Here is a 27,499-nt window from a genome sequence, read left to right as displayed (position 1 = left end):
TCAAAACCTACCAGAGATACAACAAAAAAAAAGAAAACTTCAGGTCAATATCCTGGATGAACACTGATGCAAAAATCCTCAATAAAATACTGGCAAACCAAAGGCAGCAGCACATCAAAAAGCTTATCCACCAGGATCAAGTCGGCTTTATCCCTGGGATGCAAGGTGAAATCAACATACACAAATCAATAAATGTAATTCATCACATAAAAAGAACTAAAGACAAAAACTATGTGATTATCTCAATAGACGCAGAAAAAGCTTTTGATAAAATTCAGCATCCCTTTACGTTAAAAACTCTCAATAAACTAGGTGTTAATGTAACATATCTCAAAATCATAAGAGCCATTTATGATAAATGCACAGCAAATCTTATACAGAATGGGAAAAAGCTGGAAGAATTCTTCTTGAAAACTGACACAAGACAAAGATGCCCTCTCTCACAACTTCCAATCAACATTGTATTGGAATTTCTGGTCAGTGCAAACGAGCAAGAGAAAGAAATAAGGGGTATTCAAATAGGAAGAAAGGAAGTTAAACTGTCTCTGTTTGCAGACGACATGATCCTATATTTAGAAAACCCCCATGTCTCAGCCCAAAATCTTCTTAAGCTGATAAACAACTTCAGCAAAGTCTCAAGATACAAAATCAATGTGCAGAAATCAGAAACATTCCTATACACCACCAATAGACAAGGAGAGAGTCAAATCGTGAATGAACTCCCATTCACAATTACTACAAAAACAATAAAATACCTAGGAATACAGCTAAAGAGGGAAGTGAAGGACCTCTTCAAGGGGAACTACAAACCATTGCTCAAGAAAACAAGAAAGGACACAAACAAATGAAAAAGCATTCCATGCTCATGGATAGGAAGAATCAATATCATGAAAATGGCCATACTGCCCAAAGCAATTTATAGTTTAAATACTATTCCCATTAAACTACCATTGACATTCTTTACAGAATTAGAAAAAACCATTTTAAAATTCATATGGAACCAAAAAAGAATCTGTATAGCTAAGACAATCCTAAATGAAGAGAATAAACCTGGAGGCATCACGTTACCTGACTTTAAACTATACTACAAGGCTACAGTAACCAAACAGCATGGCACACACAGACACATAGACTAATGGAACAGTTTAGAGATCTCAGAAATAAGACTGCACATCTACAACCACCTGATCTTCGACAAACCTGACAAAAAGATGCAATGGGGAAAGGATTCCCTAATTAATAAATGGTGTTGGGAAAACTGGCTAGCCATATACAGAAAATGGAAACTGGACCCCGTACTTACACCTTATACAAAAATTAACTCAAGATGGATTAAAGATATAAATGTGCTGGACGCAGTGGCTCACACCTGTAATCTCAGCACTTTGGGAGGCAGAGGTGGGTGGATCACCTGAGGTCAGGAGTTTGAGACCAGCCTGGCTAACATGGCAAAACCCTGTCTCTACTAAAAGTACAAAAATTAGCTGAGTGTGGTGGCACATGCCTGTATTCCCAGTTTCTTGGGAGGCTGAGGCAGGAGAATCACTTGAACCCAAGAGACAGAGGTTGCAGTGAGCCAAGATCACGCACTGCATTCCAGCCTGGGTGATAGAGGGATACTCTGTCTCAAAAAAAAAAAAAAAAAAAGAAAAGAAAAAAGAAAAAAAAAAAAGGACAAAATGTATTTAAAATATAAAATTTTAAAAAAGTTAAAAAAAAAAAAGACTTAAATGTAAAACCCAAAACTGTAAAAACCCTAGAAGAAAATCTAAGCAATACCATTCAGGACATAGGCATAGGTAAAGATTTCATGACAAAAACATAAAAAGAAATGGCAACAATAGCAAACATTGACAAATGGGATCTAATTAAACTAAAGAGCTTCTGCACAGCAAAAGAAACTATCATCAGAGTGAACAGACAACCTGCAGAATAGGAGAAAACTTTTGCAATCTATCCATCTGACAAAGGTCTAATATCCAGAATCTACAAGGAACCTGGGCAAATTTACAAAAACAAACAAACAAAAAAACATTAAAAACTGGGCAAAGGGCATTAACAGACATTTGTCAAAAGAAAACATTTATGCTGCCAACAATCATATGAAAAAACGTTCAACATCACTGATCATTAGAGAAATGTGAACCAAAACCACAATCGTATACTATCGCACAGCAGTCAGAATGGTGATTATTAAAGAGTCAAGAAACAGCAGATGCTGGCCAGGCTCTGGAGAAAGAGGAATGCTTTTACACTGTTGGTGGGAATGTAAATTAGTTCAACCAGTGTGGAAGACAGTGTGCCAATTCCTCAAAGACCTAGAACCAGAAATACCATTTGACCCAGCAATCCTACTACTGGGTATATACCCAAAGAACAATAAATCATTCTATTATAAAGATACACGTACACTTAACGTTAATTGCAGCACTATTCACAACAGCAAAGACATGGAACCACTCCAAATGCCCATCAATGATAGACCGGATAAAGAAAATGTGATACATTACACTATGGAATACTATGTAGCCATAAAAAGGACTGAGATCGTGTCTTCTGCAGAGACATGGATGGAGCTGGAAGCCATTATCCTCAGCAAACTAATGCAGGAACAGAAAACCAAACAGTGCACGTTCTCAGTTATAAGTGGGAGCTGAACAATGAGAACACATGGACACAGGAAGGGGAGCTCACCACAGTGGTGCCTGTCAGGGAGCCAGGGGGAGAGAGAGCATCAGGATGAATGCTAACACATGTGGGGCTCAATACCTAGGTGATGGGCTAATAGATGCATCTATTACATATTGTATTACATATGTAATACAATATACAATTACATATGTAATACATATACAACATGTAATAAATTTATTACATATACAATATGTAATATTACACATATGCAATGTGTAATAAATTTATTACATATGCAATGTGTAATAAATTTATTACATATGCCATATGTAATAAATTTATTACATATGCAATGTGTAATAAATATACAATTACATATGTAATACAATATCTATTACATAGGTAAATGGCACACATGTACCTATGTAATAAACCTGCACGTACTGCACATGTATCCCGGTACTTAAATTTAAATTTTGAAAAAATGAGAAATGATTTTATTTCTCATAAAGATAGAATGACACAATTTATGATAAATAGCAAAATATCACCAAGACACTTACTAAGTGCAGTCTTTCTTATGACATTAATATTACATTTTTCTACTTTTGTGAATTTATGTGACTCCTTGTTAAAGGAAATTTGCATTTCATAGAATTTTTAATAAACTAAGATACTAGAACTTATCTAATCTCTTTTTAACACTGACCTTGAATAGTCCTAATTTCTACTATGTGATTTGTGCTCTGTATTTATCTGGAGATTTAATTCAAGAGACAAAGAGATAAGACATAGTGGTATTTAAAAATGCATCAGCTTCCGCTAAAAAAAAAAAATATTAAAAAGTGACTTTCCATTTATATAAGTGGATCTACAACCTACTCCTGAAAACCAAATTTTGTGCCTTTTTGCCTTTCCTCATCAAAATCCTGCCAATAAAATTTGCTCTTATCTTTTCAGAGCCATATTAAATTTTATCTTCTATGAAAATAATTTGGGAGTATTTGGGAGACAAGCAAATTCTCCAGTTTGCTTGAAGTACAGGGTTGGTTTGTACATAAGGTAGTCCAAGTTACCATAAATTCTTAATTTGGGAGACAGTCACTTAATCATTGAAGGTCTTTGAATAGAGAAGCAATTAGCAATACTATTTCAAAAAATAAACTGATGTTAATTTATAAAAGAGATTTAAATTAAGAGGTAAGAAGGTAGCAGGTCAGTAAAGCAAGTCAGTCAGTAAAGTATTTATTAGAAAAGTTATTTATTTATTTTTAACTTGATGCGGATGGTATTAAGAATGGAAATATGAAAGAGAAATTCAAAAATGAAATCTGGGCCAGGCACGGTGGCTCACGCCTGTAATCCCAACACTTTGGGTGGCCAAGACGGGCGGATCACCTGAGGTCAGGAGTTTGAGACAAGCCTGGCCAACATGGTGAAACCCCATCTCTACTAAAAATATAAAAATTTGACAGCCATAGTGGCGCGTATCTATGATCCCAGCTACTTGGGAGGCTGAGGCAGGAGAATAGCTTGAACCCGGGAGGCAGAGTTTGCAGTGAGCTGAGATCACACCATTGCACTCCAGCCTTGACAACAGAGTGCGACGCCATCTCAAAAAAAAAAAAAGAAAGGAAAGAAATGACATGTGTTTGGATGGGTCATGATAGTTGAGAAAAAGCTGGATTTCAGAGCTATGTCACACCTTTTTATCATCATCAGGATCTAGCATGGTGCTTTATACATAGTAAATGCTTAATTAGTATTTATTGAGTATACAGATGTTTTTATTCTTAAATTATACTATTTTATTGCCTTTGTATTCTGTCTCCAGCAATATATTTCTGCTGTTGTCTCCGCATTGTTTTTTGTTGATTTGTTTGTTTGTGTCAAAATGCCCCACTCATTAATTTGAGTTAGAGTTTTTCCCTGCCACCTCTCTAAGCCATCTGGTTTTTAAACTTTCAAGAAATCTAAAAGTGATCTCTCATAGGATTTTTTTGTCTTGTTTTATTAGAAGAGATATGAGTCCTTCCTCTATAATTATCACCATCCCCTGCCTTTTGAATCATCTTTTTCATCATAACCACAATATTTCATTCTTTTTTTTTTTTTAAGAAAGGGTCTCACTTTGTTGTCCAGGGTGGAATGCAGTGATGTGATCACAACTCACTGCAGCCTTAAACTCCTGGGCTCAAGTGATCCTCCAACTTCAGCCTCCCAAGTAGCTAGGACTACAGATGTGTGCCACCACACCCAGCTAATTAAAAAAAAAAAAAAAAAAGTTTGTAAAGACAGGATCTTGCTATGTTGCCCAGGCTAGTCTCAAACTCCTGGCCTCAAGGAATCCTTCTGCCTTGGCCTCCCAAAGTGCTGGGATTACAGGTGTGAGTCACCATACCCAGCCCAAAACGTATGCCAATTTCTACACATACAAGTATTTGTTTACACTAGTTTCCCTCTTAGATTCCAAACTTAGGGAAGGAATTAGCTCACACTAATGTGAAGAAGTTCTAATTACAAGACAGGAAAAATGTATTCTGACTTAAAACTATGTATCTACATGGTTTTAAGACTGGAAAACATTTCATAAGAATTTCAATGATATTTACAATGACATTATGATAAAAGAATTAAATGAATGAATAAGTTGTCTGTCTTTTTGGGTGAACTGATCCCAGAGTTGACTACTCTACTTAGGCAATTTCTATTTTAACTTGCATTTTTAGAATATGTTCATTTTAAAGACTTAATAATGATTTATTTACAAAGAGCTCTGCGTTAAGCAAATTTATTAGGTAGAACAAAAGTTAAATGTCTTCTGCCCACCTCTAAATGCTCTCCTGTTTTTATAGCCAAACAAAATCTCAAACTCTACTTCATTTCAAGAGGTAGGTGTTTCTCAAGCTACCTCTCTTGCATAAATTCCCATGGCCAAGAATCTTATTCAGGATTCTAAATTGTACACTATAGCTCACACCCAGAATCCCAGCACTTCAGAGGCCAAGGCAGAAAGATCTATTGAGGCCAGAAGTTTGAAACCAACCTGGGAAACATAGTGAGACCTTATCTCTAAGAAAATATTAAAAAATTCGCCAAGTATGGTGGCCATGTGCCTGAAGCCCCAGCTACTCAGGAGGCTGAGATGGGAGGATTGCTTGAGCCCAGGTGTTTGAGGCTGCAAATCAGCTATGTTTGAGCCACTGAACTCCAGCCTATGTGACAGAATGAGACTCTGTCTCAATAAAAAAGAGAGAGATTCTAAATTGCTCTTCATGACTAATATATTTATCTTTAAAAATTATTTTGAAATTTTAGATTTACAAAAAAGTTATAAAAAATTAAAAGAGCCTTCTTGTGTCTTCACTTAGCTCCCACAAATGTTAACATCTCATATATCCAGAGTACAATGATTAAAACCAGGAAATTAACATTAATGTAGTATTATTAAGTAAGAGTCAGACCTTAATCAAACCTTGCCAGTTGTCCCACTAATGCCCTCTTCTGTGGTCCACTATCAAAGCCAGGATCTTGCATTTCATCAAGTTGTCATATCTTCTTAGTTTTCTCTAATCTAGGACAGTTCCTTAGTCTTTCTCTGTTTCCTGCCCTCGACTCTTGATGAGTGCTGCCAGTTATTTTCTAGAATGTCCTTCAATTTGGGTTTGTTAGATGTTTTCTTATGATTAGATTGAGACTATGCATTTTTGGAAAACTAAAACTGAGACTGTGAATTTTTGCCAAAAATAGCACAGAATGTTGCAGTGTCCTCAGTGTACCATATTTGGAGAACCTGAATTTGATATGTCTCATTACTGGTGATGCTAGCTTTGATCACCTGGTTAAGGTGCTATCTGTCAGATTTCTCTGAGTATTAATAAATCATTAAAGCCTGAGGACTAGCAAGGTATATCCAGCTTTTCCCTGTAAAATATGCAGAATTTTTGGCTATGCTATTCAAGTGAACTGTGAGATCTGGTGCTCCTTTTCATGTGATCACCATTACCAGGTTGAGGAGTCCCATGTCTCTTCATAATACTTATTTCTTACCCAGGTATAACTAAGTCGACCATGTTTTTTCTTATCAGAATAATTTAGGCAATCTGTGTCCTTATCTGAGATTGTTGTATTAGGTGAAATCATTCCAATTTCTTATATAGCTGCAGATACTCCATCATGCTGATGGATGTAGGCATGGGATGGATCACATAAATAAATCTTTCCTATGCTTGTTTCAGAATCAGGAGTCTTATGGTATTCATCATTGAATCAGTGGTCCTGACTTAGCTTGAGGAGTGTATTAGTCATTATTAATAATTAGTAAGTGAATAAAAGCACATAATTTTTTATAAGGATACCTAGAATTAAAGCAAGATCCCTTTCTTCAGGATGCATACTTTTTAAAATGGATATTTCAATAAAAGACAATTCTCATATATTATAATAGTTCAAAAATTAAAAATAAGTTAGTGGATGTTGAAAGGCGAGAATTAACCTTGGCTGGAATGAATGTGGAAAGCATGACAAAAGAAATCAAGGTGCAGCAGAGAAGCCTAAACCAGCAGAAGTAAAAGTGACTTTGAGAGGAGAATGTGTATTGCATTTGTGAATGCCTAGGTAAATCCAGTTAGAGCTTAGTCTGAGATAATTTCTGAGTCAAAAACTAATATTCCCTTCTGTTCCAGTCCAAAATAATTAGTAAATGGTTTTGACGAGGGCCTAGTCAGGTAAAGAATGACTTAAGTATAGCAGATAGGCAGGAAGAAGATAAATGAGTAGAACTAACATTAGGAAATAAACAAAAGTTAAGGTTCTGGTTTTAGCCTAAAATTACTACAAATTTTATTGTTTGCATGGTCCCTTCTATTTAACTATGCGATGCAAATAATTCAAAATAAATACCTATTCTTTTGTATTAAGGATTTAATTCCATTGCTAAGGACAAAAAGAAGTGTCACTGCCAAAAAGTCATAAAGCCTTTCTGGTATAGAGTAAAAGTGACTGTGGTAAAAATAAGGAAAATTTGTCTTCTGTAGCTTTGGTCCACAATTTAGAAGCTTCAGAATAAGCCAAAGGCTTGGATGGCTGCTTAGAGAGGATGTTTACAATAAAGCATTGCAGATACCTCACACCTTTTAAAGATTCAGGATAGACTCTAAAAATGTCAGAATGTGAGTGAATCATTTCTGTTAAGTGTCATTATAGAAACTTTCCCCAAATCAGACTAGGGAAGCATCATTAGAAAAACTCTAAAATGATTGAAATGAGACCTTGATTTGTGAATTATAATTTATTTTTCTAAATAAGAATTAGTCATTTGAGCTTAGCTTTTTGTTGTATAGAAAAAAAAAATCACTAAGAATAGAGTTAAGTACAAGCCTGCACCCATCTGTTTGACATTGAGAAGACACTTGGTTTCTCTGTGCCTCAGTTTTGTTATTTGTAAATTGGAAAATTTACTCACTTTTCTCCAAGAGTATTTCGGCAGTAAGTTCTATGTTTATGTCATTTTTTTTTTTAAACTGGACATTTTTTAGACCATAATTATAGTAAAGAAAATTCTTGACTCTTGAATCCTAATGAAAGCCATTTTCACAATTAACCTTTGAAATAAGTAAGTTAAAGGACATTGCTAGGCAACTACAACTTCTACCGACCAGCTAATAATTTTAAGAGTTTACTGGGAACATGCACACTTAGGTTATGCTCTTCAAAATAGATTTTTCTTAAAGTTCCTGATGATGTGATTCTTTTTCTTCCTATCCCTGCTGCCTATAGCTTTAATACAAATTGATTACTGAGTTACTTGCCAGAGACTTTTTAATAAAGTTCACCTACTGCTGGAGGGAGCCTAGTTTCAGAAGGGAAGACATAAGCATTTGATGTTCTTAGGATTATTGGTTGTGGGATTACTTTGCTTTGTTTTATTTTTAATTCTAGATCACTTTGCTGTCTTTATGGAATTTTTTCTGATCTGATTGGCAAAAGTTCTACTACTTACCTGTTTTTCTACTCAGCCAGGTAACCTGGACCAAGAGCCTTTTAAGCAGTTCCCAGGACTTTGAATTTGATCTCAAAACAAGTTTGTCTCTCTGGGCAGCTCAAACTATTGAACTCAACTGTTCCTGGAGGGGATACTTCTAAATGACACATTTGCCAGGAAAATAATAAGTAGATTGTAAAAGAAAATATATTGCAAAGATACCACTAAGTGGACCACTTATTGCATACATTTTTAAAAGTAGTGTTCATTGGGTTGAACATTATTTCAAACTACTCAACTATTTACATGACTTTGACCTAAAAGAAAATACATATACACACATAGATTTTTCTTATCATTTTTTTCTGATAATCTTAGGTTTTCATTAATCAGTGCTTTTAATATTATCACCTTCTTAAAAAGCAGTTTAAAAATCCAAAATAGATGATAACATGGTTGAATAACATATATTTGTCAAATATTTGACAAATATTCATACATTTGTCATTTCTTTATGGTTAGAAAATTCAAATCCTCTCTTCTAGCCATTTTGAAATTTACAATACAATAATATTAACCATAGTAACCCTACTGTGCAACAGAACACCACCATTTTTCTGACATCTCACACAAACTATTTTGCCCTAATATTTACCTTTAATGAACAGATCCTATCTGCTGAAGAGAAAAGGCTGTTTCTGAATTTATATTCTTAGCTCCTTTCACACAGTTGGCACTTATCAGCAAATCAAGAGATAGGAAGGCTTAGAAATGTTTTCTATGTTAGTTAATGCCCTTATAATGTCAGAAAAAAAAGAGAATAACTTATTCAAATCAGCACAATCTCTATCAATCATTGATCATTGATTATGTAGAGTCATAGTTTTATACGACACCAATGAACATCATTAACATCTCATTCTATATGAATGGTGCATATTTGATTGTCCAGTGTGCAGTCTTTGCTGCTATTGGTGGTGTTTCTGAATGAATGTCTAGGATATTGACAAGATAGGTCAGCCATGGATCTATTTACATTTTAAATAATTATTTCACTTATTAGAGTGGTATACACTTGTTTTTAGAAGAATGAATACTTTATTTTCATGTACCATACTCTTTTTATAAACATCAAAATGTGATAAAATGTATTTATGAATATATAATTCTTTCTAAGATATAGCAATTTTATTAGAGAATATAGAAAATGTAGAACATTTATTAGAAAAACATTTTTATTAGAGAAAAGTTTTGGGCCAATAGGTAGAGGTAAATTCATTTTTTATTGAAGCGCATAATTACTATTGAAATTATATTTGAGAGAAATGATTCTTGACCTCATTGGAATCACAGTAACTTTTAGTTATTTCATTTTCTCAATTGTTTTATTTTGATTAAAATTTCTTGTTGAGTAAACACACACAATTTTTTTTTAAATGGTATCTTGGCTGGGCTAGAGCCTAATCTCAGATGGGCTGGCTTATTGAAGAGGAATACTCTTCTGCTTTCAGACTTCCAATGTCTACCGTGGAGTCTAGCTGGTTCACCCTCCTCTGATCCCCTTAAAAATTTGGAAAACCTTAATTGTTAACACCTAATGAGTCCTCCTGGATACTGGAGGTATGACAGTGTCTGATTTGCAAGAGTTCAAGAATCTTTTGGATTAACTTGAACCAAATTTATGATTGGTGTTTGGTGGAATAGTGTGTGGACAGTGATCCTAGACAGTATCACTTTCATGAAATTCCAATGCAAGAAAATAGTGTGCTCACAAGTTTGAGTCTCCCTGTCTTGCTCAGTTTGCATTTGACTTAATAAGTAGTCAACAACGTATTTTTTAAAATTTAATAACTTAATTTTATTTAATAAAAAATTAATAATTAAAAAATGCTTTAGCCTAGAGTTTTGACAGAACATACAATTTGCTATATATGACAAACTTCCCATTGTTCTCTTTTTTCAAATTTATTTATTGTGTTTTGTTTTTATTGACATGTTATAATTGTACACACTTATAGTGATGTTTTAATACATATATATGTTGTGTAAAAATCAAATCGGTATGTTTAGCATATTCATCATCTCATATATTTATCATTTCTTTGTTGTTAGATCATTCAGATCCTCTCTCCTAGCTATTTTGAAATTTACAATATAATAATATTAACCATAGTCACCCTACTGTGCAACAGAACACCAGAACTCATTCTTCCTATCTAACCGTAACTTTGTATCTGTTGACCTATGTTGCTGTCTTGAATATCATCCTTAACTATTTCCATAAAGCTTTCATTATTTGGGAATTATCTAAATTCTTCTGGACATTTTTTGTTTCGACCTGATTGAGAATATGGGACCTGTGCCTAAACCATTTCTGTGACATGTCATGTTTCTTGCCTTCTTTCATTTATAAAGAGCATATGCATTCTCTTTCTCAAAGATGTGATTAAAAATCTGTCTAATTCTCCAATCTCTTTAGCTAGTTATAACACATTTGCCAATTCTGTTGTCTGCCCCTCCCACCAGAAGTCTTAATTTATGATATATAGTCCATATTTTCTTTTTCTTTTCCTGGCATCTTTGTCTTTGCACCCTTACATGCATATGTAACATTGAGGGCTGTGCCTTACTTCTCAATATTAGTAATTATTGTAATTAATTTTTAAATCTAGAAGTGGTTACATATTATAGGTAGAAACTCATTACTTGATTCCATTAACTTCTCCTAAGATGTTCACTTTTTCTGAATTTTTAATATGCCTATATGAAATTTTAGTAATTAGGAACCTATAGTGCTCAGCTTCATGAAATAATTCCTTATGATTCTACAAAGAACTTACAATAATTCAGAAGGAAAATAAAGTGTATTTACTTGTTATTGTTTTAGTGATTGTTAAGATTCTGTTTCATCAGTTTAGAAATGTTGCCCTGATCTAAAACTCTTTTTGCATACAATGTGGTCTTCTCTGTGCTTTTGCTTTTTATGAACCTTAAGCCAAAGAATTCCTCCATATAGGTAGAAATTCTCCAGAAAATTTCAAATTAACAACAGCATCTGGAAAAGGTTGTAGAAAGAATAAAGGTTCCCCTTACTTACAAATGCTTTACTTTTAATATTCATCTGGGTACCTGGCTTTCACTGTAAACTTTCACTGAAGGAAGTGTTATATTCCTGTTACATTTATTAATAGAAACATAATTGCCTGAATGTTTCGTGTTGGCTACAAGATGACATTTGAAGAATTATAGGCTTTCAAAAAGTAACCTTTTATTCATATACTTATGTTATGAGTTAGAAGCTAATCTACTCCGAAGTTAATTATATTATTGTTCATGTAGCAAGGATCCAGAGCAACCAATAATTGAGCAGACCTGTACATGCTGATTGGTTTTCTTTTTCAGAAAGTTTCAATCTATGTAAGGGAATATGTTAGCCTTTGCAGAATTGACGTGAGGCTGAAGTGGGCACACTTAGGCAAGGGACAGTTGGCAAGAAAGAACAAGAAGGGAGAGAGCCCTATATGTAAATAGCATGTTCAATAAGATCTAAAAATATTCCCTGATTATAACATCACAGGCAGTTTAAACAAGAGATACGGGAGCCCATGTATATTTTTTACAAACATTTATTGGAGTGTAAAGTATGTTGACATTGCTAAATTTGTGTCTGATAGAGCCAGCTTTGTTAATGAATTTAGAGTGAGTAATAGAGGCTTGCTGCACAGCTTAAATGTGGAGATTGCTGAAAACCACTTTAAATTTCAGTCATTCATACATTCAGCGATCTGATGGATGTCAAGGTTAATTTGCAGTAAATCCATTAGTAGTCATGGTACTGATGTGGTAGTGCTTGCCATATAGAAACATGCATAAATAATAAAGGTGACACATTCCTCTATGTTCCTCTCTATATTGGAACTGTGATTAAGATGTACTGCCACTGCATATTTAACTCACTTATATAGTAAAATAAAACATGTTTCTGTAAAGATAAAATTTTTAAAAAGCTAGCTGGCAGGGTTTTTTGGTAAGTTTGGTCTTTATTTAATGGTCAAGTGATTTTTTTTTTTGCATTATGCTATAAATCTTACTATGCTAGATGTTTTATGGTGATGAGCTAATATTCTTTTTCTCATGAAAGCTCCCATGTGATACAATTTAATATTCCTTCCATTGTCAACTATTACTGAACATAAATAATGATATAATGAGTTTACATAAAAGTCCTAATCTGTGCTACAAAATATTGAAAATATTAATAAAAATTACGAGGTAGGAATGTCATTTTTGAAAGTCACTTGATTTGGACATAACTTTGAAATATGTCCAACTTTTCTGAAGGCTTTCATATTAAAATAAAACAATGTTACAGTGTTCATTATTTTATATTTTTACAGCACACACAACTGCCCTCACACATGACACCTATTCTCTCTAAAATTTATTAGGCATTTATCACATACTAGGAAATGGACTAAATGTTACTTTGTAATATCTCATGTAATTCTGATAGAGCTCTATAAGATAGTGTTGCTATCCCCATCTTTTTTCAAATAGGAATCCCAATACAGAATAAATGGCTACCAAGGTCACATAGCTAGTAAATGACACAGTTGGAATTTGAACCCAGATCTCTCTGAGTCTAGAGTTTACATTCTTAATCTCTAAGCTATTCTGCTTCAGTAAGTACATCATGTCCTTGGTTCAGAAAGATGTGTGTTAAAGGAGGTAGATTTTGAAACTTTAAGCCATCTAACCCACTATATTTGATTATGAGAGTAATTTTCTAGCTCAGTGAAAAGAGGGCTTTAAGAATATAGGAGATTTTGTAAAGTTTGATGCAAAGTTAATTTTTTAAAAAAAATCCAGAGTGCTTATAGAAGTATGTAGAAGAGAGCTGAGGAAGGACTGGATATCTAATTGTCTCGCTTATTATAAAATTGTGCTGATGAGTACAATACAATGCACTACTGTGCATACAGAAGAAAAACTAAGAAAGACTGCTCTCAGGATATATCTGGTGGGAAAAAAGGAAACTAGAAATAATGGCAATGTTTGACAAACAGTAGTTGCGATTTTTTTGCTTTGTTTTGGTGAAACCTAAAAAACTGTAAAGTCATTCTAAACAAGACAGATTAGCTAATCTCATTCTAGTCATCAAGTTTTAGATTCATTGAAAAAGGTTAAAATCTGAGAAGAAATCAAATCTTGAGTAATGGTATTTGTATTGTGACACTTATCTTACTGAAAGTGTAAAACTTCAAATTATTACCCACAAGTTCTATAATTGTGCTAGAAACTTTCATAGTTCCATAGGTTTGGGAAGTGTACCCCAACTAAATGTTAATCTACATATATTAAATGTTCTGTCATTTTACATTTAGATGTTATTTTTCTCTTTTTAAAAGTATTGTGAGGTGAGAAGAAAGTATATGATAATGAAGAGCAAATGTCACTTTATGGATATAAGACATTAGAATATGATAACAGTTGGCCTTGATAAATTCAGACTGACATCCAATTAACTTTTTCTTGACTGCCTGGTTATGATAACAGAAATATTTCTGTCATAAATATATATATATATATATATATATATATATATATATATATATATATATATATACTGGAATAGGTATCAGGATATGGGTTTTATACCAACTCTGCCAATTAACCAAGTTTGCAACTTTAGATAGCACGTTAATCTTTATGACTAAATTTCCTCAGATATAGCATGGAAGTAATGTCTGCCCTATGTTCCATAATAAGTAGATAAGATTTTTTTTAATTGTGAAAGTGATGTTTAAAGTTAAAAATTAATATGCAATGTTGTTTTATAATGCTTACCTCACACTTATATAATTCTTAAACCATCTGAATTCTTAGATATGTGTTGTTTTATATCATTAAATAGCATCTCTAGTTTTGAATATTTTTCTTATTTCACATAATGTATATAGTCATTAGAGAACAAAGCCAATTTAAAAAAGGAAAAAAATTAATTATTAAGTATCAGCACTCAGAGATAACCACTACATCCTCCTTTTAAAGCCATCTCCACTTTTTTATGTTCTTGTCCTATTTTTATCAACAATGGGCTTCACTAGAAAAGTTAATACTTAATCATTTGCAAAAATTACCAGGCAGAAAAATATTTCTCAAATAGTGTTTGCCTATAAAGATTATGATGAACAAGCTTCTGAGGATGTAGAACATAAGTGGCTCAGGAAAGCCCTGGGATTTCTGATCTACACTCTGTATATTCTGAATTTTCTTTGTGCACTGACTGGTGCTTTTGAAATATGGCTTGCCTTTTCTCTCTTGAAAGAGATAAACTGTTTTCATGCATTGGTATCTGCAAAATTAATAGAGAAGGGTACAGCCTCTATAGCTTTGCATTTTAACAGTATTCATGTTTATCACTTTTGCATTCAATTTTCTCCTAACATGTTTCTTGGAAGAGGTCTATATACCAAGTCCTATTTAAGCATCAGGTACAATAGGCATATTGCAGAGGTCTTTGGAATTTCTCAAAGGCCTGTGGAAATGTCTGTAACAGAAAACAAAGAAGAGTTGCTTCCAAAAATGGCCACAAAATCAATATTGTCAGCTGTTTAATTAAATGTACACAAATGTGATAGTAGGTCAACTCCATTTAACTGGTAAACTTGGTAATCATGGCAATTCAATGTATAGTTTTCTTCAAAACATACTGCTGTACACACAACTTTTACACATAAATGTTACTCTTGGTACAAGCTATTTTTCTATAAATACAAGAAGTTTTGTGGCCTAAGTTTTCATATTTTCTCTTATTATGTATAATCATGTATATATGATCAAATCATATATGATCTGCTGTCTGCAAGTTAGAGAACCAGAAAAGCTAGGGGTATCGATTATGGGACTGACAACTGGAGAAACAACGATGTAGATTTTAGTCCAGGTTTGAAGGCATGAGAACAAGAAGCTGCAAAGGCAGGAAAACAACAATGTCCCATTTTAAGCAGTCAGAAGAAGACAGAGGGAAAATCCAATCTTTTTTCTTTCTTTTTTGGTTCTATTCAGGACCTCAAAATAATAGAACCAAAATGGGTGGCCAATGAATGATGCATTGAGGTAAGACTAGTGCACCAAATGCTCTATTAGTCCATTTTCACACTGCTATAAAGAACTTCCCTGAGACTGGGTAATTGATAAAGAAAAGAGGTTTAATTGACTCACAGTTCTGTGTGGCTGAGGAGGCCTCAGGAAACTTACAGTCATGGTAGAAGGGGAAGCAGGCACCTTCTTCACAAGGCAGCAGGAGAGACAGAAGTGTGTGTAGGAGGAAATGTCAAACACTTATAAAACCATCAGATCTTGTTAGAACTCACTATCATGAGAACAGCATGGGCAAAGCCACTCCATGATCCCATCACCTTCCACCAGGCCCTGCCCTCAACATATGGGGTTTATGGGGTTTACCATTTCAGATGAGATTTGAGTGGGGACACAGAGCCAAACCATATCAAATGCTGAATAAATTTGTTTGAAAAAGACTCTTTTCATTTAAGCTGGATAATTTACTGACCAGACAACCATAAGGTAAAATTTGAACACTCACAGAATGAGTCCGTGACATTATTCTCAGTGCTATAAGGCTTGTATTCACCTTGGGGTGGCAGAGGATGTGGGTCTTTTTATGATTCTGAATAGTTTGACAGCTACTAGATGTTGCTTGTTAAACAAAACCTGACTTCTAGGGATGACATCTATTATCTGTATTTTCTTGACATGGCTACTGGGGCTTGTGGCTATTCATCCATTAGTTATCTGTCACATGTAAGTAGATCCTTTTTCCATAAAAGTTACATTCCTAGCACATTTGTTGCGACTTTCTCCACTGTGCTGTATGACCCTGTCACATCTGCATGCAGCTCCTATTTCAATACCAAGTTGATGTGTGCTGCTGTTGCTTTTTGGAAGCATCCAGTCAATGTTTTCTACTAAACTATTTCTTAAAAACTGGCAGGAAGAGATAATGCCTCATTACATTCCGTTCTTGTCCAACTCAATGGAAAACACAATAACCTACTATTTGTTCTGAAACACCTACTGGTAAATTGAATCAGTGTATTAAAAACTGAGCTACCTCTCCATTTCTTTTAAAACAACTTGGTCCACTTTCTTGAGCACATTTGATTGAAATCTATGATTTACTTTGCCATAGTTTTGTGTGTAGAGTTGATACTTTACTGATATATCAATATAACATGCCTTGCTAATGTGCAGACTTGATGTATTTGGACTAATTGGTTTTGGTTTTTGTTTTCCAGCTGGGACGACATATATCTTTAGCAAAGGTGGTGGACAAATCACGTATAAGTGGCCTCCTAATGACCGACCCAGTACACGAGCAGACAGACTGGCCATAGGTTTTAGCACTGTTCAGAAAGAAGCCGTATTGGTGCGAGTGGACAGTTCTTCAGGCTTGGGTGACTACCTAGAACTGCATATAGTAAGTACTTTTTGCATAAGATTCAGCTTTTACTTTTTACTGTTAACTTTTTGTAAAGAATTTATAATTTTGCTTCTTGGATGCTTCCTTCCCCCAGAAACCAGTACTTTGTTATAGGAAATATGAATACAATCTAGAGGAAATAAGACCATATACCTATTGCTGTAGTTAATCGCGTTCTTTACAATGCAAACTTTTTTTTTTTTTTTTTGGAGTGTGAATTCCTCTTAATTCTGTGTTCAAAATAATTTTTAAAAAAATTTTGGAGTGATTTTAGTGTCTTTAGGCAGACTTGCCAAATGAATAAAATAAGTTATTGCCTAGTAGATACCACACCATCTGGCTGGAAGCAGGAGGTTGTAATACTGGTGACATCCAAAGATCTGGATTCTGTCTTTATTTCTTTGCTCACTAGAGAAAGTACTTATCTGAAGCTACATGAAATAAAAGGAACGAAAGTATACTTTAAGGATACTTGGGGATGTGAAACAAGATGGCAAAAAGATTGTTTCTGTGCCATTTTGTACTCATTTTGATACGTGTCAGGAAAATACATTTTAATTCATAATTACCACTTACATCCTGGGCCCATTCTCTTTTCTCTAAAGTTGTAAGCCTCCCACAGTAATTTACTCAGCATATAATAGATAGCAAAGAATAGTCATGAATGAAAAACTTCATTTTCCTTTGAAAGTTGCCATAATTAACTTTAGGGTTCAGGGGCACTTATTTCTCTGCATTTTAAAAATTATTAATGAGTATGTTTGCAACTCTTTAAATCTTCATTTTCTTGCATTATTTGTAAAGAAGCACAGTGTCTTTTATTAAGAGATATGAATATTTTATTGATATATCCAAAAAATCGTAGTGTGTCACATATTCAAAAACTTTTCTAAAGGGTTCTTATTATCATAGTTCTTGGTCTAAAGTCTATCTTTTGGAAGATTTCAGAAGAAACAGGTAAGTCTCCCCATCCTCTTTTTTATCCTTGAGGTTCTGTTTATTTCCCATGCATTAAGCGACCATGGAAGTTTGTTCTATTTTGTTTTGTCTTTCCCTATAAGTTCTCCTTCTATCAGTGCTCACTCTCCAAAGGACATTTGATTAGGTCATCATGTTCTTTCCTGTTAGAAAGTGGTCATCGGGTACCAGTTCTAAAATAATTAAGAAAAACATGAAACACCAAAGTACATTAGCACAAACTTTTACAAGTTTTTAATTCTCTGTTTTTATTAAACTATTTTCTTAATCTTAATTTTGCCTTAGAATTCTGGAATTTCCAATAAGCTGTGTAGGAGTTTACACTGACCACAAGGGCTGAATTCATTGATAAGCTTGAAAAACACAACAAAACCCCTCAGCACAGCCATTATTGAACCATAGTAAAATTTCAATTTAAAATGTAGTTCTCAAGAGGGGAACTCTGGAAAAGTAATTTCAGGTGCCTTTTAGCAAATTTCTAACAATCAAAATTAAGAACATCTGGATTTTTATGGCATCATAAATAAATGATCAGTTAAGATAAATTTTACTAGTACAGTAAGGAATCTTGCTGTTTAGAGTAAGCTCAACTTTCAAAATGTATTTGCTCCGTTCTGATTTAAGAGCTTTGCTACTTCAAAAAATAAATAAATAAAAATGAAAACAAGGGCCTTTTCCTTCTAAAATAAATTACTTATTGATCCATAACCAATTACACTTTTACTCTGAGAAAAGGTTCTACAATGATCACTCTCAAATCACAAGGGGCTGTGTTATTGAATTACTCAAACCACTGTTGTTTATTTTATGGTCAAAGAGTTTTAGACTGCAAGAATAGGTATTTCTTTCCAATTCTGGTCAAATGTGGTCTTAGGGTCCTGTCATAAGTAAAGAATTGACTTTCTCGGCGTCCATTCTAGCGTAATACCCTCCATATCTCCTTTACGAGCCATGGATTTCTGATAGCTGCACTGTGAAGGCCTTCTTCTTTCTGAATCTCCGATCTTGGTCTTGCCTGGTCGTTCTCTTTGGATTCAGTGCATGTCTCTACACACCCTTTCTCTTGGACTTGATATCTTCAAAATCTCCCTTGCTCGTAAACCGTGTCCTCCTGGGCTTCTCAAATACTGTTTATTGTCAGCCCTACCCACTCCTTATCAACTAATGGGACTCAGTCTGAGTTCAAATCTGGTCAAATTAAATTTTCTTTCTCCCATTGCCTAGAAGAGGTGATTAGACATTACAGACTCAACAAGTCTTTGATGTGGAGATAAGTCATTTCTTTCCATGTTGTTGTTGTTGTTGTCGTTGTTGAGACAAAGTTTCGCTCTTGTTGCCCAGGCTGGAGTGCAATGATGCAATCTCAGTTCACTGCAACCTTTGCCTCCTGGGTTCAAGCTATTCTCCTGCCTCAGCCTCCCAAATATCTAGGATTACAGGTGCCCACCACCACGCCCAGCTAATTTTTGTATATGCGGTAGAGACGGGTTTTCACTACGTTGACCAGGCTGGTCTTGAACTTCTGACCTCAGGTGATCCAACTGCTTCTGCCTCCCAAAGTACTGGGATTACAGGCATGAGCCACCGTGCCCGGCCTTTTTCCATGTTTTAAGCATATAATAAAAATTAACACAAGGCCAGTGGTTTTCTTTTTACTACCTAAGTTTACCTCCAGCACTTTCCCAAAATGTTGGGTGCATGGAATAATAAAAGAAAGAGGAATTAGAAATTAAAAGAAAAAATGAAAACCAGACAGGAAGCCAAGAAGAAAGGAAGGAAGGAAAGAAGAAAGAAAGAAAGGGAGGGAAGAAAGGAACAAAGAAAGTGCAAAGCAACACAAGATAATGCCTGGGGGTGATAGAAGCAGAACTGTTCTTAATATTTAGATTTGAGAATATTGAAAGGCTGTTTTATCAAATTATTTAGGTATCTTTGAGTCCATTTTGGTTTGCCCAATAAATTGTTCTACTTCTTTCATTATTGAAATTTAAAAGGAAAAATAAGATTTATAAATTCTAGATTATTGCTTATGATTTAGGTTTGTGAATATAACTGACTTAAAAATTAACCTAATTGGTGCTATGCTATCAATGATACATTTTTATCTGTAAAAGTTAGACTTATTCATTATCCATTAAACTTCAAGGAAAATTTGTGTAAGCTTTCAAAGTCAGTGAAGTATACTATGTACTGATCAGATTTAATATTTTCATCCTTATTTGATAGAGTAAGCCAATAAATTAGAAAGTTGATTGCATTAAGAGATGCTCCATCATTGCTGAAATATATACTGCTATTTAAATTAGATAATTTAAAAAATCTGATTGGCATATAATTTTAATGAAGATTTGAATATTTGACATGGTTTGTCATCCAATTTTTCAGAATAAAAATGTTGGATTTTTAAAAATTTTGATTAACTGTACTCTTAAAAACATAACAACTTGGAATAAAATGGTTTTTGAGTCAGGTGGCCCAGTTTTGATAGATGGATTTTTTTGTCATATTAATATTGATGCTACCACTGTTAACCTCAAAGTCATATAATATTACTATTGAAATTGTTAAGGTTTTATGAAGGGGTGAGGAGAAGGTAAGACATGAAGTGAAGAGCAATTAATTAGTATAGTACCTAGAATATGAGTGCTCAATAAATATTTTCTGAAAGAATTTAATAGATTTAATAAATTATACATTGAAAATACTGTGGCTTAGGATGAGTGTAGATCTTCAATTATTTAACAGTCAAGTAAAGTGACAGACATTTTAATTTCTATATAACTCTGAGAAAGTCCTCCAGGTTCCTGATTACAATACAGAAAAGTATAGAACTTGATATAAGCAGCCATATTATTGAGAAGCTTCAAATCTTAAAGGTAGTTTTCAGAAATCTTCAACTAAGAATTGGTTATGGTGATTGGTGGTTTAAAGAAAGTCTATGGTGAAATTTTAGTTGGATGAATGTTTATTTTTTGTTAATAATTGCCTTATTTATTGTAATTCACTTTTATCATGAATTATTCTCTAGTTATTTTATATCTGTCCATTATTTACAAATAGAAATAAACTTTCTGATGGCAGAGAACATGATTTATAATAATGGTGATGATTAATAAGAAAAATAGCCGGGCTCAGTGGCTCACGCCTGTAATCCTAGCACTTTGGGAGGCCAAGGCTGGCAGATCACAAGGTCAAGAGATGGAGACTATGCTAGCCAACAAGGTGAAACCCCATCTCTACTAAAAATACAAAAATTAGCTGGGTGTGGTGACACATGCCTGTAGTCCCAGCTACTTGGGAGTCTGGGGCAGGAGAATCGTTTGAACCCAGAAGGTGGAGGTTGCAGTGAGCCGAGATCGTGCCACTGTACTCCAGCCTGGCAACAGAGTGACACTCCGTCTCAAAAAAAAAAAAAAAAAAGAAAAGAAAAGAAAGAAAAATAATACAGTAATGTGACTTTTCATCATTTACTTCAGTACATCCTAGAAGCCTCTCCAGAAATATTTATTTAGCACCTAATATGACCCAGGCCTATGTTAGGCTCTGTGGATACAAAAATAAATGAGCTGGTTGTTTAGTAACCACCTCAATAAATATTTGTTGGATGAATGAATGAACAAGCTAGCTGAGATCCAGTTAACTTATATGATTTATAGCAAACATTTTGTCCCCAAATGACTGGTATTTCTTGGTATTTTTCTGTCTTGATATTTCTTCATCTCTCTTCCTTACAGTTTTAACTTTCTTACTTGTATAGTATTTGTGTGGACAGTTAACAAATAATAGATTTTTAAGATAAAGAATATAAAGAAATAACTTGCAAACTGTGAAGTGTTACACAAGACATGTTTAAGTTACGATGTGTTGAGGATTATTTAACTGATAATGACTTAAATAATTTCTTAGAAGCAATAAGAAAAATTTAGCTCAAGTTTTTATATTATATAAGATATATCTAGAAATTTTACCAATGTTGTCACTTCTAGAGAAAAGCGCTCATATAGCAGTTTAGTGATGTCATTTGGAAATTACTTAATGCCTCTCTGACAGAAGAAAGTCACTATAAATCTGGATGCATTCACTACCACAAATATTAACATGTGCATTGGTTCTGACCAGAGGAAATGTCACTGAGGGTGGAGGAGGGGATGAGTGAAGAGTGTGTTTTGAAATCCTTTCATCTTGGGAGCATAAAAGAGCATTGCAAATTTGATGAGTGAATTGTTGCACATTTTTGCCTTAAGTGTTGCTTCTTTGTACTTTGCTGGGCCGGAAGCCTTATTTTGAAACCAAGCTCTTAATTGATTTTGATTTAGAAATATGCCTTTTGATCATTGGTTTTAGTGTAGACTAGAAACAGTGTATTTATAGTAAATATTACATGTCCCAAAATAACACCAATATTGGTGACGTGTCAAGTCTTTCTCATCTTTCTCTGCTTCTCTCCATTATACATTATTTATCTTGCTGGTCTATTAAGATTTGATTCAGAAATACCTTTTTAAAGTCAGTAATTATACATAGATGCACACCTATATCAACAAGATAAACCCAGTTATTTCCCCTCAGGGTTTTCCTTGAATAGAAATTATGTTCCATTTGAAATACTCTTTCTAATCAACAGATGCACTGATTTTATAGAGGTTTAACTTTGCCATATAGTATTCAGATTCAGTCCTGTAAATCATATGTTGTATATATATTGCTTGGTTTTGCTTTCCTAGTTCTTTTACATTCATTTATTTATTTTTTCTATTGCCGTATCACGAGGTAGCTTTCCTAATTCTTATATGAATTAGAGAACATGTGGCCTATTTTACTACAATTTCAAAAGATGGGTTAAATAATGCCTTTTCACCATGTATTGTAAAATTACTGTCCAAACTTCTGAGGTGTAAAAGTCATTTTTGGGGAAAATGTGAGAAATGATGGTCACATTTCTATTGGCTTAAGTGCTAAATAGTTTATTATGTGGGAGGTAGGAGAGGTAAATGAATCAATACAGATTCCTACCTTCATCCTTTTCCCTTGGAAGTTAATTCAATTTCTCAACTTCTAAATTACTGGTCATCATCTTTAGTGTGTCATTTAATCTCTATGTTTTTGGTTTCTAGAATTCTAGAGTTATTTCCTCATCTGAAATTCTATTGCTGTGAAATTTAAGAAATGAGAACAAAACAGCTATTTCTAGCTTCTTCTCGGTTCACATACTTACCACTTAGAGGCTTGTACTGCTGCCTCACTTTCTCAGCTATCCTTCTGTCTCCATTCTGAGTACTTTTCTATCCATTTTATATACTTATGGCAGGTTAATTTGCTAATCTGGTTCTTTGATCATATTATTCCTTTGTTAAAACACATTGATGCCGCTGCAATTATATATGGGTAAAGGCAAATTCTGTACCTAAAATTTAATGTCTTCAGCATTTTGATCTCTTTCCCTTTTCGTGTCCATTTTTCCCATTTTTCTACTTATCTTTCAACTCCAGTGAAACATATTAACTTTTTTTAAAAAATGAGCTTCTTGTCATCTCTCTATTTCTAATTCCTGTTCAAAAGATTTCTTCCCATTCTCTCTCACTATATAGATTTGACTCAGTCATTGAACAGTTTTTTCAAATAGTGAGTGTTTTCAGGGTTGGTCCTGGATCTTTTCACCTCCTAAGCTAGCAGAAAGAAGTTAGGTCTCCGGAATCTCTTTGGAAGAGTTGCAGAAACAATTCCTAGGACATTACCTAGCTGGAGAAAATCATGTCCATTGATTCTGCTCCATCCTGTGATCACTACTCCTTTTGACCCACTGCTTTGTGGTGGGCCCCAAGCTATTTTATAGAATGGCTTCAAATCTATTCTTAAGTTAGCCAGTGATGAGTGGCTTTAGGAAACCCTGTTTCTTATGCCAAGCTGTCAAAACAAGGAACTTCTTGTTGAATTCTTTCTGACTACTGACTATACCACAATTTCTTCTATAGCTACTAACTATTTTTCAAAAGCGTACCTTTAAGAAACATTTTAGGCAAAATAAACACATTATTTTTGATCACCTATAATGCAATTTATAATGTGTGTGATTAGTTCCTGTGTAACCAATTTTTCCATAATTTAGAAGCTTAAAAGAGCAAACATTTATAATCTTACACTGACTTAGGAATCCAGGAGCATCTTAGTTATTCTGGAATTTTTAGAAGAAGTAATGGTTAAGAACTCCTGTATTTAGAACATATCCAATATGTTTACCCTTATGATCCAGACAGAGTCTGTGTGTCTCGGGAAGAAATGATGAGCAATAATTTAAACTATATGCAAGCACGTTATTAAGGAGGCTTTGCAGAACTCTAAACACAATATAGATTGATGGAAGAAAAAAAGAAACAAAGACATTGCTTGAGGGTTAAGAACCAGTTTGGGGAATACATACTGAATATGGGTCATTTGCACAATGATCAGGAAAATTACTTTTATTACACACACACACACAAAAAAAAATGCGCTGAAAGCCATAAGCAAAATGCATGGCAGTAGCGGTTACAAAATAGAAACAGCATTGTAAATATGTCAGCCAAAGACCAGAAAACAAGATGATGATGGTGATTCTACAGCATTAGAATCCTATTAATGCTGATGCTGGCCCACTCTAGACATGGGCAAGTTTATTTAAACAATGGAAGGAAATAATCTAGGTGCATAGATAGGGGGTACTCAAGTTAATAGTAGACATAAATAATCCAAATTATAAATTAGAATCGGAGGACTAGACATAATTTTTATGGGGTCTGAGAAAATTCTTCTGATGAAAACAATTTGTGATGTCTCTAGGAGTTACTTTAGGAGATGGTGTGCTAGACCAGAACTAGGGATTCTTATATCGACAACACAGAGGAGGCCTCTCTCCTCCTCAAAACAAACTGGAAAACTGTCTAACCTTTTTGCCAACAGAGCACAGCCCTGAATGGGGGACGCTCAACTGCCCTGGAAGATCACACTGCAACTAGGCTTCTAAGTAAATGCTTTAATGGTGGGCTCTTCCTGGAATTTTAGCCCTTAAATCCTTCCTGCCCAATAAAGAATGGAAATTCGTGATTGACAGACAAAAAAGTTTGGTGAAAGATCAAATTTAATTGATTAGTAAGGCTTTTGGCCTATGAAAAAGGGTATCTTCATATACTTAAAATTTTACTCTGAATTTTAGCTATCAAATAAGTGCCGGCTGCTCACTCCCAAAGACACATCTCCATCCCAGACTTCTGTCACTACCATACTAATATTTCCAACTGCTTACTCAGCATCTCTACCTGGGTGTCTCACAGGCGACTGAAACTTACCACATTAACAACTGAACTCATCATCTCCCAATCACCCACTCATCTACACGATCACAGGCTACATCTTTGACATCTTTTACTCCGTGCTTGCCTTTACAATCTAATCAGTTTGTCACCGAATTGCTACCATGTCTCTCAACCTATACCATCCAAGAGAAATATATGAGCCATGTTTGTAAGTTTTAATTTTCTACTACTCATATAAAAGGAAAAAAAGATGGAATTAGTTTTACTAAATACAATTAACTTTGAGAATATATTTTAACTCAATATGCCCAGAATATTATCATTTTAATATATAAATGATATAAATTATTAATGTTTTCTATTATCTTTTCATAATAAGCTTTTCAAATCCAATGTGTGTTTTACACTTAACATTTAGCAAACCCTGTTTCTTATGCCAAGCTGTCAAAACAAGGAACTTCTTGTACACTTAACAACACCTCTCATTTCAGAATCTAAATTTTCCATCAGAAGCATTTTATATTTTGTTATATCTACAGTTGTAAAAGTAGATTCACATACTCAAGTTATTCTAAACATACTTAAAAGTTTGAGTATCTTTTAAACTTACAACAAACTTAATTAAAATTAAATACATTTTAAAATTCAGCTCCTTGGTCACATTAGCCATATCTCAAATGCTCAACATATGGCTACTGGCTTGCCTACTGAACAGCAATTTTTAGAAGGTATCTGCTTGCTTTTTATTCCACTATTATTGCCTTAGTTTAATGACCTCTTCTTGAACTGTTGCAATAGCCTTCTAACTAATCTCTCTGCCTCCAGCATCTTCCCTTTCTAATCCATCCTCTGCACTGCTACCAGAATGATTGTTATAAAATAAAATTGTGGTGTTTCAACCTCTGGCTTCAAATGTTCAGTTACAGTGGGTCTCAACCTCTTTTAGTTCAAGACATACCTGGCTGATAATGTTCACCCACTTTCAGCAGTAATTTTGCTCACTTATGAGCTGCTCATCAGTGGAAAAAAAGCACAAATCCTGGTACTCTATCAGTCCTTTCACCCATTTTCTCCCACTGCTCTGCAAGGGTGTGTTTCCACCTCTCACCTGGTAGCAAGGCTGGTCAGAGATGGGCATGGGCTCCCTGTTCAGTTGTCAATTTGAAGCCCCCTCATAGTATTCTTTAAGTATTTTTCCCAATGTGTATTTAATAGCATATGAAGAGAAACTAATTTTTATTTATTAAAATTATAGACACGGACACTTAGTAATTTACTTCTCCAGGACAAAGCAAAGTCAAACGTCTGGAAAAAATTGGCAAAATAACAACAACAAACTTCCTTTTTTTTTTTTTTCCCGTCTTTGTGTACTCTTGCATTTTTTGTTGGCAATTTTATGAAGCAGACAAAATTTGGAATTAGGTTAAAGTATTTAAACTCTGATGGCAAATCTTCATCCATACTGAACAGCATGATGCCGAGCAGCAAGTGTCATGAAAGCAGGGAATTTTATCTATTTCGTGCACTTTAGTATTCCTAGAGCCCAGCATGAGCCTAGAATTTAGCAAGTGAGCAATCAGTATTTGTTGAAATAATCTTTGCATTCTGGAAGTTCTACCAACTTAAACTATGTGTGTTCTGAAAATGTTCAATGGCAATAGGTCGGTGCTGCTCAGGTTAAAGGCAATATCAGAAGCCAGTTTATATTAAATGTGTTTTGGGGGGGTTAGAGATACAAATCTGAGCTAACTATCAGCATGTTTCCAGTTTATGTGTTACCTATTTATAGATTGGTATCTTGAAGCAAGATTCTAGTTCTGATAGAGAACCAGTGGTCTACTGCAAATACTTCAAAGGCCAACTTCCTTAGCTGGACCTCTGATGTATGCACAATCTAGACTTATTTTCCAGCCTCATCTTCAGCTACTCCACATTCTACCTCACACACATTCACTCTTTAATACATGTTCTTAACAAAATTTTCTCCCCCTCCTCCTTGTGCTTCTCCTCTCCTCCTTCTTCTTCTTTCTCTTCTACCTCCTTTTCTTCTAAGTGCTAAGCACTTTCCAAAGCACTAGAAATACAGTCAGATGTGGCATGGCTTCTGACCTC

General features: G+C 34.3%; 1 protein-coding gene across 19 annotated transcripts in view; it reads left to right on the top strand.

Moving 5' to 3' along the window:
* The window catches only part of NRXN1 (neurexin 1), a 1,113,630-nt gene that overhangs the window by 778,227 nt on the left and 307,904 nt on the right, over positions 1–27,499 (top strand). For all 19 annotated transcript variants that reach the window (NM_001330096.2, NM_001330087.2, NM_001330083.2 and 16 more), the window contains one exon: positions 16,936–17,117. In NM_001330096.2, coding sequence (NP_001317025.1) covers positions 16,936–17,117 — 182 coding nt within the window. The remainder of the gene's footprint in view (positions 1–16,935; positions 17,118–27,499) is intronic.

The sequence above is a fragment of the Homo sapiens genome, chromosome 2 (genome assembly GCF_000001405.40).
Source record: "Homo sapiens chromosome 2, GRCh38.p14 Primary Assembly".
Classification (NCBI taxonomy): Eukaryota; Metazoa; Chordata; class Mammalia; order Primates; family Hominidae; genus Homo; species Homo sapiens.
Note: the sequence above shows the minus strand (reverse complement) of the source record. Positions and strands in the feature narration are given on the sequence as shown.